Genomic DNA, 18,636 nt, shown 5'->3' on the forward strand with positions numbered 1-18,636 from the left:
TCTATGTGTCTATGTGTGCCCTTCACTTAGCTTCCACTTATAAGTAAGAACATGCATATTTTATTTTCTGTTTCTGAGTTATTTTACTTGGGATATATAGCCTCCAGTGCCATTCATGTTGCTGCAGAAGACATGAATTCATTCTTATTTATGACTGAGTACTATTGTATGGTGTGCGTGTGTGTGAATATATGTGTGTGTGTGTATGTATATACATATATGTGCGCTGTGACCATACATACACATACATATATGTATATATACATGCATATATGTATACATTCACACATATATACCTATGTACATATACACACCTATATACATGTGTGTACATACACATATACATGTATATAGGTGTGTGTATATACATACACACACACCCAATCTGATTATTTTTCAGCAGTGTTTTGTATTTCTCCTTGTAGAGATCTTTCATCTACTAGGCTAGCTGTATTCCTGGGCATTTTTCTGGAAGTGTATATATATGTATATATGTATATGTATGTATATACATATATATGTGTATATGTATATGTATGTATATACATATATATGTGTATATGTATATGTATGTATATACATATATATGTGTATATGTATATGTATGTATATACATATATATGTGTATATGTATATGTATGTATATACATATATATGTGTATATGTATATGTATGTATATACATATATATGTGTATATGTATATGTATGTATATACATATATATGTGTATATGTATATGTATGTATATACATATATATGTGTATATGTATATGTATGTATATACATATATATGTGTATATGTATATGTATGTATATACATATATATGTGTATATGTATATGTATGTATATACATATATATGTGTATATGTATATGTATGTATATACATATATATGTGTATATGTATATGTATGTATATACATATATATGTGTATATGTATATGTATGTATATACATATATATGTGTATATGTATATGTATGTATATACATATATATGTGTATATGTATATGTATGTATATACATATATAGTGTATATGTATATGTATGTATATACATATATAGTGTATATGTATGTATATACATATATAGTGTATATGTATGTATATACATATATAGTGTATATGTATGTATATACATATATAGTGTATATGTATATGTATGTATATACATATATAGTGTATATGTATATGTATGTATATACATATGTATGTGTATATGTATATGTATGTACATATGTATGTGTATATGTATATGTATGTATATACATATATGTACACATTCACACATATATACATACATATATTTACACTCACACCAATATACATGTATGTGTGTATATACACATATGCATATATGTATATATACACATATGTATATAGGTGTGTGTGTGTATATATACATATATACATGTATACCCACTCTGATAATTTTTCAGCAGTTTTGCATTTCTCCTTGTAGAGATCTTTCGTCTACTAGGCTAGCTGTAGTCCTGGGCATACACATGTAAACACACACAACATGTACACATTTTCTTTATTCAATCATCTTTTGATCAACACTTAGATTAATTTCACATCTTTGCTATTGAGAATAGTGCTGTGATAAATGTACAAGTGTAGGTATCTTTTAGATATAATGATTTATCTTTTAATCTGATTGTAGTTTTATTTTTAGTTTATTTAGTTTATTGAGAAATCTCCATACTGTTTTCAGCAAAGTTTGTACTAATTTATAATCCAGTGAGTGATGTATAAGGATTCCCTTTTCTCCACATTGTCATTAGCATCTATTGGCTTTTTAATAATAGCTATTTTAACTGGTGTAGATGGTATCTCATAGTGATTTTAATTTGCATTTTTCAGATGATTAGTGATGTTAAGTATTTTTTCATATGTCTGTTGGCCACTTGTATGTTTTCTTTTGAAAAATAGCTGTTTCTTTCTACCGGAGGTACAAGGAGGAACTGGTACCATTCCTTCTGAAACTATTCCAATCAATAGAAAAAGAGGGAATCCTGCCTAACTCATTTTATGAGGCCAGCATCATCCTGATACCAAAGCCGGGCACAGACACAACCAAAAAAGAGAATTTTAGACCAATATCCTTGATGAACATTGATGCAAAAATCCTCAATAAAATACTGGCAAACCGAATCCAGCAGCACATCAAAAAGCTTATCCACCATGATCAAGTGGGCTTCATCCCTGGGATGCAAGGCTGGTTCAATATACGCAAATCAATAAATGTAATCCAGCATATAAACAGAGCCAAAGACAAAAACCACATGATTAGCTCAATAGATGCAGAAAAGGCCTTTGACAAAATTCAACAACGCTTCATGCTAAAAACTCTCAATAAATTAGGTATCGATGGGACATATCTCAAAATAATAAGAGCTATCTATGACAAACCCACAGCCAATATCATACTGAATGGGCAAAAACTGGAAGCATTCCCTTTGAAAACTGGCACAAGACAGGGATGCCCTCTCTCACCACTCCTATTCAACACAGTGTTGGAAGTTCTGGCCAGGGCAATTAGGCAGGAGAAGGAAATAAAGGGTATTCAATTAGGAAAAGAGGAAGTCAAATTGTCCCTGTTTGCAGACGACATGATTGTATATCTAGAAAACCCCATTGTCTCAGCCCAAAATCTCCTTAAGCTGATAAGCAACTCCAGCAAAGTCTCAGGATACAAAATCAATGTACAAAAATCACAAGCATTCTTATACACCAATAACAGACAAACAGAGAGCCAAATCATGAGTGAACTCCCATTCACAATTGCTTCAAAGAGAATAAAATACTTAGCAATCCAACTTAAAAGGGACGTGAAGGACCTCTTCAAGGAGAACTACAAACCACTGCTCAATGAAATAAAAGAGGATACAAACAAATGGAAGAACATTCCATGCTCATGGGTAGGAAGAATCAATATCGTGAAAATGGCCATACTGCCCAAGGTAATTTATAGATTCAATGCCATCCCCATCAAGCTACCAATGCCTTTCTTCACAGAATTGGAAAAAACTACTTTAAAGTTCATATGGAACCAAAAAAGAGCCCGCATCGCCAAGTCAATCCTAAGCCAAAAGAACAAAGCTGGAGGCATCACGCTGCCTGACTTCAAACTATACTACAAGGGTACAGTAACCAAAACAGCATGGTACTGGTACCAAAACAGAGATATAGATCAATGGAACAGAACAGAGCCCTCAGAAATAACGCCGCATATCTACAACTATCTGATCTTTGACAAACCTGAGAAAAACAAGCAATGGGGAAAGGATTCCCTATTTAATAAATGGTGCTGGGAAAACTGGCTAGCCATATGTAGAAAGCTGAAACTGGATCCCTTCCTTACACCTTATACAAAAATTAATTCAAGATGGATTAAAGACTTAAACGTTAGACCTAAAACCATAAAAACCCCAGAAGAAAACCTAGGCATTACCATTCAGGACATAGGCATGGGCAAGGACTTCATGTCTAAAACACCAAAAGCAATGGCAACAAAAGCCAAAATTGACAAATGGGATCTAATTAAACTAAAGAGCTTCTGCCCAGCAAAAGAATCTACCATCAGAGTGAACAGGCAACATACACAATGGGAGAAAATTTTCACAACCTACTCATCTGACAAAGGGCTAATATCCAGAATCTACAATGAATTCAAACAAATTTACAAGAAAAAAACAAACAACCCCATCAAAAAGTGGGCGAAGGACATGAACAGACACTTCTCAAAAGAAGACATTTATGCAGCCAAAAAACACATGAAAAAATGCTCATCATCACTGGCCATCAGAGAAATGCGAATCAAAACCACAATGAGATACCATCTCACACCAGTTAGAATGGCAATCATTAAAAAGTCAGGAAACAACAGGTGCTGGAGAGGATGTGGAGAAATAGGAACACTTTTACACTGTTGGTGGGACTGTAAACTAGTTCAACCATTGTGGAAGACAGTGTGGTGATTCCTCCAGGATCTAGAACTAGAAATACCATTTGACCCAGCCATCCCATTACTGGGTATGTACCCAAAGGATTATATATCATGCTGCTATAAAGACACATGCACACGTGTGTTTATTGCGGCACTATTCACAATAGCAAAGGCTTGGAACCAACCCAAATGTCCATCAATGATAGACTGGATTAAGAAAATGTGGCACATATACACCATGGAATACTGTGCAGCCATAAAAAAAGGATGAGTTCATGTCCTTTGTAGGGACATGGATGAAGCTGGAAACCATCATTCTGAGCAAACTATCGCAAGGACAGAAATCCAAGCACCTCATGTTCTCACTCATAGGTGGCAGTTGAACAATGAGAACACTTGGACACAGGGTGGGGAACATCACACACTGGGGCCTGTCATGGGGTGGGGGGAGGAGGGAGGGATAGCATTAGGAGATATACCCAATGTAAATGACGAGTTAATGGGTGCAGCACACCAACATGGCACATGTATACATATGTAACAAACCTGCATGTTGTGCACAGGCACACTAGAACTTAAAGTATAATAATAATAATAATTAAAAAAGTGGTAAAAAACTAAAAACTAAAAAATAAATAAATAAAATAAGTTATTAGAAGAAAAAAGCAAAAAAAAAAAAAAACAGCCCTAGCTGATGGTAATTTTCTTTATAGTATTTCTGTTTTCAATTTCATTTATTTCTATTAAAATATTTATTATGTTTTAATTTTTTTCTTCATATTTAATTTAATATTCCCTTTCTAGTTTATTAAGGTGGGAGCTTAGATTATTGGTTGTATATCTTATTTTTAATGTATGCAATCAATGCTATAAATTTTCCTCTAAGCACTGCTTTGCTGCATCCCACACATTTGATAAGTTGTGCTTTTTGTTTCATTAGAAATATTTTTAAATTTTTCTTGAGATTTCTTCTTTGACCTATTAGTTATAAGGGTGTTGTTTATTATCTAAGTATTTCGAAGTCTTCTTGCTATCTTTTTGTTATTAATTTCTACTGTAATTCCATTGTTGTCTGCAAGTATACATTGTATGATTTTCATTTTTTTATATTTGTTAATGTGTGTTTTATGGCTCAGAATGTTGTCTATATTGGTAACTCTTCCACGTGAGCTTGATCAGAATGTGTTGGATAAAGTAGTCTATGAATGTTCATGATGTTTAGTGGATAGATGATGCTGTTTCACTATGCACTTGATGGTTTTCTTTTTTCTATATCTGTCTATATCTGATGTGAGTGTTAAAGACTTCAACTAAAAAAATGGATTAATCTAGTCTCCTTGAAACACTGAGTTTTTACCTCTTGCATTTTGATACTCTGTTCTTTAGGTGCACACACATGAAGAATCCTCATGTCTATTCAGAGAATTGACCCCTTTATCATTGTGTAATTGTCCTTATCTTTGGTAATTTCCTTGCACTGAAGTCTGCTCTGTCTGAAATTAATACCACTACTCCCACCTTTTTTTTTTTTTTGAGACGGAGTTTCGCTGTTGTTACCTGGGTTGAAATGCAGTGGCGTGATCTTGGTTCATTGCAACCTCTGCCTTTGGTTTCAAGCGATTCTCCTGTCTCAGCCTCCCGAGTAGCTGGGATTACAGGCGCCTGCCACCACACCCGGCTAATTTTTCATTTTTTTAGTAGAGACGGGGTTTCACCATGTTGGCCAGGATGGTCTCGCTCTCTTGACCTCGTGATCTGTCCGCCTTGGCCTCCCAAAGTGCTGGGATTACAGGCATGAGCTACCATGCCTGGCCATTAAATTTAGAATTAAGACCAGAAATCAGGACAAATGTCCACTAATTAAAGCTCAGATGGAGCATTCAGATAAGGCATTATGACAAGTTAGGGCACAGATGATAAGAGATTTTGATCTAATTATTCTCAGAATCTTCTGTCACAGATATAAAATAATTATAACCTACGGAAGACATGAAGACACATTCCTGCCCCCACATCCAATAAGTAGGGTCATAACTATTTCATTACCCTTCCCCTCTGTTTCCACCCATAACTCCAATTCCCAGAAATAAAGTAGAAAATAAGAAAAAAACAGGTTTGGGGGATTTGGAAACAGGAAGGTTAGAACCATGGATGTAAAGAAGGACGCTGGAGAGACTGAACTGGAAAATACCGTGGAAATAATGCAGTCTAGGCTTAGAGTGTGTTTTCTCTTTCTAGCAATAAAAACCACACTTCTGGTGGCTCACGCCTGTAATCCCAGCCCTCTGGGAGGCCAGGGAGGGTGGATCACCTAAGATCAGGAGTTCGAGAGGAGCCTGGCCAGTATAGTGAAACCCCATTTCTACTAAAAATACAGAAATTAGCCAGGTGTGGTGGCACACAACCTGTAGTCCCAGCTACTCGGGAGGCTGAGGCAGGAGAATTGCTTGAACCCGGGAGGCAGAGGTTGCAGTAAGCCGAGATCATGCCACAGCACTCCATCCTAGGTGACAGAGCAAGATTCTGTCTTAAATAAATAAATAAATAACATAACCAATAACCACAATTTTAGTGAAGATCATGCCCATTATTATAAATTTTCCTTTAAAGCAAGAAAATGTATACCTATTAGAGGATTTAAATTGCTAGAAAAATACCTAGAGATTACACACATTAACCCAGTTATTCTTGTCATAAAACACTTAAAAAGTGATCACATTTGTTTATCACTCCAGAGTAAGTTTTGGAAAATACTTGAGAGCAGAGGCAATGCCCAAATCTCCCTGGCCAAGGTAAAAGCTCTTCTAGGCAATTTTTTATTCGAGTAGGAAATAAAAACTGTGTTGCTAGTTTATTTAGAAAGTGACAAAAATGTAAGCACTATGCATATAATTCTATGTATTATAGGGAATTAGTTACATAGCTAGGACTTTTCTCAAGGGAAAACTCTTGGCATATTTTTAACATTTAATAATTATATGAATATAGATGAAATATTTTAAAATATTAACAAATAGAACATCAGTATATTAAAAGAGTGGCATGTTATTCTCCAAATCAGAACCATTTTATAATAGTAATACAATAAATACTACTTATTATGCTAAATTTTTTTCTTACATATGCTGGACACTTGTATATGTACCTCACTTGTATTAATCCATTTAAAATTTAAAAGATTGGCCAGACACAGTGGCTTACACCTGTAATCCCAGAACTTTGGGAAGCGGAGGCAAGAGGATCACTTGAGGCCAGGAGTTTGAGACCAGCCGTTTGAGACCAGCCTGGGCACTATAGCAAGATCCTGTCTCTCAAAATTTTTTTTTTTTAAAAGAAAAAAATTTTAATGTAAAAGATTCCTAAGTGGAGTTGATGTTATCTCTAATGAACAATGAAATGAACAGAGATATAAGAGATACAGATAATTTTAATAACTTGTCCACAGGTGCACAGTCCAGGAACATCAGTAATCTAATAAACATTATATAAAGTCAATAGCTGCCCAAAAAGCTCTTAACAAAACTTTGGCAACTATTCTCAGTGCACTTTATGAGATCACTGTTAGAGGGGCACTTTTATAGAAAACACTGTAAGCTCATACCCAACACTCCGTGTGTTTTCTATACCTTCCACTTCCCCTTAGTCCAGGCAATGCGATTAAGTAGAAGTAATTTTTAAAAATCCCTTCCAGATTTGGCCCTTAAAATAATCTACACATAGGATTCTCTAACTTCTCTAACTTCTTCACTGCCTGATAACCTTTGAGAAGTTGTGTTCCAGGTGATGTAGCTACATGATGGTGAGGAGCTGCGGGACTGACCTTGGACTGTTTTTGAGTGGGTTTATTGTGTTAAACCACTGAAATTACAGAAGCTTTTCTTTTTTTTCTTTTTTTTTTTTTGAGACGGAGTCTCGCTCTGTTGCCCAGGCTGGAGTGCAGTGGTGCGATCTCGGCTCACTGCAACCTCTGCCTCCCAGATTCAAGCAATTCTCTGCCTCAGCCTCCCGAGCAGCTGGGATTACAGGCACCCGCCATCACGCCCAACTAACTTTTGTATTTTTAGTAGAGGCAGGGTTTCACCATCTTGGCCAGGCTGGTCTTGAATTCCTGACCTTGTGATCCACCCTCCTCGGCCTCCCAAAGTGCTGGGATTACAGGCGTGAGCCACCGCGTCCAGCCTCAAAAGCCTTTTTATTTCAGCAGTTAGAGGTAATTTCTTGGACAAATACAGTGAAAAACTACATCAATAAAACAAATATAAGAAAAAATTATGACTATCTCAAACTAATATTCAGTAGCATTATTAATGAGAATCACAAGATATATTACTTGACCGGCAGTAACAAAACAGAAATGCCAGCTATTTTTCAGAATACAAAGTAAAATAAACAGAAACATCTCTAAAGATTTCTTTTGCAATAGTAATAACTATTCAGGAAATATAAAGGAAGAAGAATCCCAATGTATTAACAGTAACATGCATATAGAATATTTAGAAATAAGCTAACAAAAATGTTCATGTTGAAGATGGAAAATAATATGACAAGATGTTACTATGCTGAATATAGGTGAAAGTGGGAAGAAAGAGGTGTACTATATTAGTCAGGGTCCCAGAGGAAAACAGGTGTCTACGCTAATCGGATAATTAAGAATTTAATGAAAAGACTAATTAAAGTATGGGAAAGTAAGGGGCACAAACACAAGTGTAAGAAACAGTGATGCACTCTGGGACTTGCAACACCAGGAAGCTGTTACCAGCTCTAGGCCTGAGGAGCATGGGAAAAACAAACAAACAAAAAACAAAAAAAAAAACAATTTACAAAACAAGGGGGGCACTGAGAAAAGTGGCTAACAAAACAACCTGTTATCTCAGGGGTTCAAGACCACCCTGGCCAACATGGCGAAACCCCATCTCTACTAAAAATACAAAAATTAGCCGGGTGCAGTGGCTTGCACCTGTAATCCCAGCTACTCCGGAAGCTGAGTCAGGAGAATTGCTTGAACCCAGGAGACGGTGGTTGCAGTGAACCAAGATTGCGCCATTGCACTTCAGCCTGGGCAACAGAGCAAGACTACATCTCAAAAAAAAAAAAAGGCCATTATCAGGAAAGCTGGGATATAAATCTCACTTCCCTCCCACCTCCCAGTCCTTGTCAGACCTGTACATGGGCTGCACCTAATTGAGAGTTGGAGGGCAAGGGAACTCGTGAGTATATTAATAAAAACTAGCTTCCTGGACATATAGCAGAATGCAAAAGGGTAAAAAATAAATCTGGGTGGGTAAATGTGATGGAATACTATACTGTTTCCCTAAATTGGAAGTTGAATGAAAAAAATGTCAGTAGTCCCACCATCATTTATAGATTTAATATGATTCCTTTTATAATACTAATAAGAATTGGGGACACATTATGAAATAATCCTTAAGTTCATCTGGAAAAATAAAGAGGTTAAAAATGATAATAATAAAACAAAAGACTGGCAATAATGGGGGAATTATTTTTACATATACATACATATAATAATAAAAGTCATTTGTACAAGTTTATACACATACATGTAAATTAATAGGATCAAATGAATGACTTCATCTCCAACACAATCATTTGCATGCATGGATAACTACATTTGTGTGTATGAAACAAGAGCTAACCTAGAGACACCTGGGAAGGCTAGACACTTGTCAGATTGTTTTTCAGACCTACATACTTAGTCTGTTTCTGTTGCTCTAACAGAATGTTACACACTGAGTAGTATTTAAATATATATATATATATATATATTTAATATATATTAATATAAATATATATATTTGTAGTTCTAGAAGCTGGGAAGTCCAAGGTCGAAGGTCCACATCTGGTGAGGGCCTTCTTACAGCATCATAACATAGTGGAAGGCATCACATTTTCAGAGGGCAAGAGCAGGCAGGCTAGTTCAGCTCTCTCTCTCTCCCTTTTTTTTTTTTTTTTTTTTTTTTTTGAGATGGAGTCTCTCTGTCTCCCAGGCTGGACTGCAGTGGCACAATCTTTGCTCACTTCAACCTCCACATCCCAGGCTCAAGTGATTCTCCTACCTCAGCCTCCTGAGTACTTGGGATTACAGGTGTGTGCCACCACATCCAGCTAAGTTTTGTATTTTTAGTAGAGATGGGGTTTTGCCACATTGGCCAGGCTGATCTCAAACTCCTGACCTCAGGTGATCTGCCCACCTTGGCCTCCCACAGTGCTCAGATTACAGGCATGTGTCACCATGCCCAGTCCCTCTCTCCTCTTCTTATAAAGCCACTATGCCATCATGAGGGCCCCCACACACATGACCTTAATTCTAATTACCTCCAAAAGCCCCCACCTCCAAATACCATTAACATACGCATTTGGGGATTAAGTTTCCAGCACATGAACTTTGGGAGGACACATTCAAACCATAGCATTCTGCCTCTGGCCCCAAAATCCATGTCTTTCTCACATGCAGAATACATTCATTTCATACCAATAGCCCCAAAGTCTTAACTCATTCCAGCACCAACTCAAAAGTCCAAAGTCTCACCTAAATCATGAATGAGTGAGACTGAAAGCACAATTTATTCTGAGATGAATTTCCTTCAGCTGCGAGCCTGGGAAGTCAAACAAATTATGCTCAAAATACATTAGTGGGACAGGCATGGGATAGAAATTTCCATTCCAAAAGGGAGTAATAAGAAGAAATGAGTAACAGGCTCCAAGTAAGTCCAAAACCCAACAGGGTGAACAACATTAAATCTCATACCACTTCCTGGTTGGAGTGGGGATGGGCCCCCACTGCCTCAGGCAGCCCTGCCCCTGGGACTTTGCTGGGTTCAGCCCATGCTTCCGCTTTCCCAGGGTGGATTTACATGCTGGTAGCTCTATACTTCTTAGGTCCTGGTGGTGGTCCCACTCCAATGGCTCCATTTGGCATTTCCCTGGTAGGAACTCAGCATGGCAGCTCTGCCCCTGCAGCAGGTTTCTGCCTGGGCCTGAATGCTTTCTATGACAGGTTTTGGAATCTAGATGGAGGAAACTGTGCCTCCGTAGCTCTTGCATTCTGCACTCCTGCAGTATTAGCTCCACATGGACACTGCTAAGGCTTATGGCTTAGGCCTTCTGCAATGGTGGTCTGAACTGCAACTGGGGCTGCCTGAGCCACAGCTGGGGCTAAAAAGTGCTGCACCAGAATGCAGTGAGCAGAGCTCTGAGGTGGCACAGGGCAGTGAGACATGGAGGGATCCCCTGGCCAGACCCGCAAAACCATTTTGCCCTCCTAGAGCTCTGGGCCTGTGAGGGGCCATATCGATGATCTCAGAAATGCCTTCAGGACTGTTTCCCCTTTTTCTCAATGATTAGCACCTGGTCCCTTCTATTCCTGCTCATCTCTAGTGACCAGTCACTCAGCCACACCCTTGCTGTGTTCTCCCTAACTTGTTTTTCTGTTCTTCACATTGCCAAACTGTGAATTTTCCAAATTTTTATACTTGGCTTCCATTTTAATTATTATTCTGCTTGAAATCATCTCTTTGCTCCCATATCTCACTGTAAGCATTCAAGAACAGCCATGCAGTATCCAGAACACTTTGTGGCTTAGATTTTTTTTTTTTTTTGGCCCAGCTCACCACTCTTAGGTTCCACCTTCCATAATGTCCTAGGACATGGACATAATGCAGCCAAGTTCTTTCCTGCTTTATAACAAGGATGACCTTTATTTCTATCTGAGACCTTGTTAGAATGGCCTTTCCTGTACACATTTCTACTAGCATTCTGGTCATGACTACTTAAGTGCTCTCTAATAAGTTCCTGACTTTCCCTCATTTTCTTGTCTCTTATGAATCTTCACAAGAATTACCCCTAATCCTCTGCTTCTGCCACTATGCAACACGCTTTTCTGAGCCTGTTGCTTCACATTCTTCCATTTTCTACCCATTACCCAATACCAAACTACCTCCAAATATTCAGGAATTTTTATAGTGACAATCCCACATCTCAGTACCAATTTTCTGTCTCAGTCCATTTTCTGTTGCTATAACTGAATAGCACAGATTGGGTAGTTTATTTTTAAAAATAGATGTTTATTTAGCTCATAGTCTTGTTGTCACCAAGTTCAAAAGCATGGCACCAGCACCTGGCAAGGGCCTCTGTGCTGCACCATACTATAGCATGAGGTGTTCTCATGGTAGGCAGGCATGGGTGCATCTGCTCATGACTTTATTCCTCTTCTTATAAAGCCACCAGTCTCATCATGGGGTCTCAGCCTAATGACCTTATGTTATCCTAATTGCTGCCCAAAGGCCCCATTTAGTCCCACCTCTTAATAGTATCACAAAGACAACTGAATTCCAACATGAGTTTTGGAGAAGGCACTCAAACCATAGCAGTACTCATACACTCATACCCTTTCATCATATGTAAGAATATTGCAATTATTTCATCTTTAAATCTGATTGTGGGGAAGATCTATTTCTGACACATGGAAAATCCATGTCCCAGTCTCTAAGATAAGAACCAAGTCCCAGGGATTTTCTTTTAAGTCAGCGTCTCTGCTCATATTATAATTTCATTCAGTGGATATGTATTCCTAAATCTACTTTCAATTTAACTGATATTCCCCCAAGATGGATTCAGATAAAAAGCTGGGCCTTATGGGACAGGATTCCTTCATGAATTCAGCACTAATTTTCTCCTCCTGTCACATCTTCTGCAGATATACGGAGAGAGCTTTAATATAGCATCCTCCATGCTGCCATCTGGGGAAATTCTTAATCAACACACCCTCCCAGACAAATGGGCCATCAAGTGTTTCACAGATGGATGGGACAGTCAGGCCGCCCCGAATTAGTGGGCTTGGCTTATCTGGTTTTTTTCTCTATTATTTCTGTTCCCCTTTTTGCAGTCTCTTTGCTGTAATTGAATTATGCTTATAACTCACGTCTTTTATGAGCATAGCTCAAACACACCTTACTGGGGACAAAGCTGCTAGTACTCAGCATGAATAGGTGTTTTGAAGCCAAAGAAGCACGCATTTCTGTCCTTAAAAATTCTTACAGTGCTATTCTGATGGGGAGACAGTCTGAAATATATATAGGTAGGCCAGATTTCAAGAGAGGAGATAGAGTAATTTGGAAACTTAAGCATTTTGGTGCCTCTCTAAAAGGGACAAGGATGCCATTCTACACAACTCTGGAGAGCATGGCGACATTTCATTCTTTGCCCCTAGCAAACTTAGAACATGGCGCCCTGGAGAGGCTCACATTCACTTAGAAAAAAATACAATAGTGAGCATACTTTTAAACTGCTCTTTTTATAAGACTCAACATATACTCAGAAAAATTCCAGTTGGGATCTGTGGAAGAGAAAAAGTTTCTGCAAAATTGGAGAAAATGTGTAGCACAGTATTGTCACTATGTGTGTGCAAGTGAAATGTAAGTGCTTTAGTAAAGTTCTTAAGCTCACCCTCCTCTATGTCTACCTTCAGGACTCAGCCATCTCTGAGCATAAACACATGAAAATATATGCTAACTCGTATGAAATTCAATATGAATATTTGAGAGCTTTCTGGGGCTGGGTGTGGTGGCTCATGCCTGTAATCCCATTACTTTGAGAGGCAGAGACAGAAGAATGGCTTGAGGCCAGGTATTCCAGACCAGCCTGGGCAACATAGCAAGGTCTTGTCTCTACTAAAAATAAAATTAAAAATAAAATTACCTATAATTGGTGGCTTGTGCCTCAAGTCCCAGCTGCTTGGGAGGCTAATGTGAGAGAATCACCTGAGCAAAGGAGCTCAAGGCTGTATTAAGCTATGATTGTGCCACTGTATTCCAGCCTGGGTGTTTTCAAAAAATAAAAATAGAAAAGAGTTTTCTGGGAAGGAAGAGATCCTAAATGAAGCCATCAGAAACAACTAGTTTGACTCAGCTGCAAAGGGTTTGCTAACGCAAGTGAGAAATAATTCTGAATACAGAATGAAGTCCAACTCCTGGGAAATTCTTTGGATTCTAGCAAGAGGACAAGAGACACAAGTAAACAGAGGTCAATGCCATGAGGATCATGTGAGATACAGGCACGCAAGCAGGATTAAGATGGGGCTAGAGAGGACCGCAAAGAAGATGAATCCATCCATTTCTTCACACACCACCCCCAAGACTGGGCTGCATCAGGGACCCAGCCTCCTAGTGATGCAGTTGGGAAGAGACCACAGTGCCTACTGAAACTGCAGTAACCGTTAGTGAGAGAAGGAAGAAGCAGGCAAGAGAATGTTGGTGTATTCAAAATAGACAACCTGTCAAAACTCCAAGGACTATGACGGGAACTTTTCAAGGAGCTGGGCCATGTGAGCATGTGGCTACCTGAGCTAGGAAGTCCATGCTATTACTGTCATTGTGACCCAGTCTGTACCAACTAGCTGGTCTGACCATGCAAGCACAGGGGATATACTACACAAAGCATTCCTCTTTTTATTGAGCCTCAAAAGAAACTGGAAACTGGTGTCTAGATCTCAATGGTGTGGAGATGAGAGCCAGATGAGTCCATGTCTCCCATCCCTTAGCCAGCACTGTCCATCTTGGAATGTTAAGCTGCAAGGGCAAATGATATCTTACTGTGGTCTTCTGACCCAGTATTCCACACCACATTTAAATATTGTCAGTGCCACTATTGATTTAGGCATGCAAAAATGAGATCCTTCAATTACAGAGAACAAACGTGCTGTATATAATGCATTTCAGAGATATTTATTGCAATTCTCATAGCAGGATCCTGATGGAGAACAAAGAAATTAAAGCTCAGAGCTACTTGAGCACTCTTCTCTTAAGAAACAGGGGATCTCCTACTTCCTGATGTCACTTGTTCTCTCTTCAGCTTCTTGACCACTGCATAGCCTAATCTGGTTGCCTGACACTTGTTAGATTCAGAGCTTCCTGCTAGCCACTGTGCAAAAAGAGAGGAACAATCCACACCAAGACAAGAAAACCTTGCTTAGGAGGAGAATGGAATGATTGCAAACACTATGAGAATAAAGACTACACCTGTTATATTTGTTGAAGTATTCCCACCATATGGTCCAGTGCTGAAACATGGCAGGCACTCAATGAGTTTTTAGTTTTTCACTCAAAATTAAATTAAAATAATGAGATGACCTTTATATCAGAGGTGAAAGGCTTAGTGAGTGGAAAGGAGGGAGAAACTAACTGTCTAGGTTGTGTGCATTGATGGAGAGTGGAAGACACTGGCAACTGAGTTGCAGACCTGGGCTGGAGCAAGTTGTCCTGACTCCTAACCAGTTGTCCATTCCCATGCACTGCACCACCCTGACTATGAACTTGGGTATGGAGGGCATGGGTAGTGGTGGCTCCCCTCAGGTATCTCCAGGCCCTCTGCCCTCTGTGCTGGCAGTCCTGACTGTGAACTCAGGCATGGAGGGTGTGGGTAATGGTGGCTCCCCTCTGGGTATCTCAAGGCTCTCTGCCCTCCATGCTGGCAGTATTTGCCAGTGCAGGTGAGGGCATGGTGAATGAAGCCCCTCATATCAGAGTTTGACTTCAGATGGTAGATTTTGTGTGAGTGATGCAGCAGGCACACATTTTACTCATTTTAATTTTTTCAAGCTTTACTGAGGCATAATTCATAAATATAAATTATATATATTTAATGTGTACAGAGGGATGTTTTGATATATGTATATACTGTGAAATGATTACTGCCATCAAGCTAATTAACATAACCATCACCACATAGTTACCGTGTGTGTGTGTGTGTATGTGTGTGTGTGTGTGTGTGTGGTGAGATCACAAGATCTACCCTCTTAGCAAATTTCCAGGATGCAATACACTATTATACATTATAGTCACCAAGCTAGCTATACATAAGACCTCCAGAATGTATTCATCTCATAGCTGAAAGTATGTACCCTTCCACCCAAATCCCCCAATTTCCCTCACCCCCAGTCCCTGTCAACCTATTTTCTACTCTGTTCCTATGAGTTGGACTTCTTTAGATTTTACATATAAATGAGATCATGCAGTATTTGTCTTTCTGGGGAAGAGGTTTTAAAACCAACAACCTGTTCCAGTGACTCCCCTCCTTTGAGTGTGATGGTGACACCTTGCGTCAGTGACAGTCCTCACAGGGAGGCTGAGGCTGGGCCAGCTGGAAAGTGATGGTCAGTGAGGCACTGCGTGGGACTCCCTGAAACTGATACAACAGTTTCATACAGTTTCAGCAGTACATGCACACCTGGAGTTGCCACCAGATTCTCTTCCTGAACTGTGGGCTCCTTGTGGGGGTGGATGGTGAAGTCTCCTGGTCATTAAGCCCCTGCAGCCCCAGGGCAAGCTCCCCTCTGGGTGAGGATGGAGACTCAAGACTCAGTAGGGCAGAAATACATCTCCATTCCTGGGTTCCTGCAGCTAGCTTTCCCTCCTGGAAATGAGTTTGGGCTTCACCAGTTCACTCTTTGGCCAGCCAGGTTCCCTTGATATCTAACACATTCTCATCACAATGACTGAGGTGACAGTGGGACTTAATGTTTTCATCTTCCGTGCCCTTGTGACTGACAGTCATAAAAATGTTCATTCAAAGAAACTAGCCATGTCCTGTGCCTGACCAACCATGAGGCCTTCCAAGCCCCACCCAGGCATCACTGACTCCTTCCAGCTTCCTTTGCTCCCCAGGCTGAGTTCAGCCTCTGCCTGTCCTGTATTGCAGAGCACCTTGTCATCCCTCCTTCATGTAGCCTAGGTCTACCTGTTGGGGGCTAGAATTTTCTGGTCCTTATTATCTTTCTTCTTGGTCTTAATCCTATGACCAAGGTGAAAAAAGCAGTAGGAGAAGTTGAAAATTGAGTACATTGAAGCCTTGACCAGCTGGTAAACAGATTCTATCTTCCTTGATGCAGAATCAATAACCTACAACTTTAGCTGAATTTCTCAGGACAGCCTTCTCTGGGACCCATCTCTGTCCCCTAAAAATTTCAGAATGTTCTATCTTCTAGCCCAACTGAACCTGTGTGTGTGCTTTGCAGCTGTGAGGGCCATTGCCATGAGCACCTACCTGTGAAGTAGGCGTAATGCTGTTCCTTCCATCCTCATGGCCCCAGAATGTTTTCCCATTGGGCTGAGTTGAGCCCAGTTGAGTGGAACCACTTCTTCTATTCAAGCATCTTGGAATAGAGGTCTGAGGAATCCAGACTCTCCTTACTTGGCTCTGGGCTGCCTCCTCAGAGCTATTAGCCAAATTAATGGCACATCTATAACTGGCACAGCAGCTTGTGTCTGGGTTCTGGTATATTTATCTGGTAAATGTTCTGTAAAATCATATTATGAAATTAAAACAAGATCTTAATAAATCACAGTGTATGAGATTTACCAACAGGATTAAGAAGACATTTCTGGAGGCAGGAATTGTGCTTGTTTCCCAAAGGTATGCCTTGCTTGGTACTGCTAAATGCTGCACTGGGGTCCCTGGAGTGGCCGAGAGCCCTGTGGCTCTATAGCTCAGCAAGGGTGTCCTGGAGTTGATCCAAGTTGTGAAATGTTCCTTACATCTCCTTGATTGTCAAGCTCTCACTCCTCTCCACAGCTCAGCAAGGGTGTCCTGGGGTTGATCCAAGTTGTGAAATGTTCCTTACATCCCCTTGGTTGTCAGGCTGTCACTCCTCTCTGAAATACATCCAGCTCTTGACCACTTCTCCACCTGGTGCTCATGCTTTAGTTCAGGTCCTCAAAATGGATGATTCCAGCAGCCTCTTTACTCATCACCTATCACAACATCACACGGGCTCTGATTTATCACACACTCAGCCCTGTCATGATGTGCTTCCCCAAAGTGCACCCCAGCACCCCCAAGCCAGACACCTTCCAATCAGCCTCCTACCCCCACACTCACCTCCATATTTCTCTCTGTTGCTAGAGTACGTGAGGCACATCAGAGGTCGCCCTTGTCCTTAGGCTGTGGATTGGATTTAACTAACTGGGAGTTTGAGAGATGCAAGGAGACCAGAATGAGAAAGGAGGATGAATTCAGTATTTATTTTGCCACTGCTTTTCTGTGAGGCCATCTCAGCCTGGTTGTTTCCCTCCAACAAAGGTCAAAGCTCCTCTTAAAGAGGCCTGCTCTCCATGATTCTGTCCTTCTGATGCTAGAAATAACTTTCTCCCCAAATCCCTTTGGGCCTGATACGGTCACTAGAACCATGTTACTGCCCTACTTATGGGCTTGCTGAACACTCCTTGTTAAAAAGTGATAAAAGAAAAACTTCAGCTAAATTAAATTTAAAAGAGTTTAATTGAGCAATGAACAACTCATGAATCAGGCAGCCTCCTGAGCCAGAGTAGGCTCTGACACTCCAGAGCAACCACATGGTGGAAGATTAATGGGCAGCAAAGGAAAGTGATGTAGAGAAAATAGAAGTGAGGTACAGAGACATTTGGGTTGGTTACAGGTGTTTGCTTTATTTGAACACAGTTTGAACACTCAGCAGTGTATGAGTGGTTGAAGTATGGCTGCTTGGATTGGCTGAGACTCAGCTATTGTTACAGGTACATACTCCTAAATTAGGTTTTCAATCTCATCTACCTACTAAGTTAGGTTGTGGTTAGTCCACAGGGACTCAAATACAGAAGTAGGGAGTCCTTCTCAGGCCACATTTAGTTCGCTTTCACTATAATAGTCCGTTTATTGAA

Source organism: Homo sapiens, chromosome 19 (assembly GCF_000001405.40).
Source record: "Homo sapiens chromosome 19, GRCh38.p14 Primary Assembly".
NCBI lineage: Eukaryota > Metazoa > Chordata > Mammalia > Primates > Hominidae > Homo > Homo sapiens.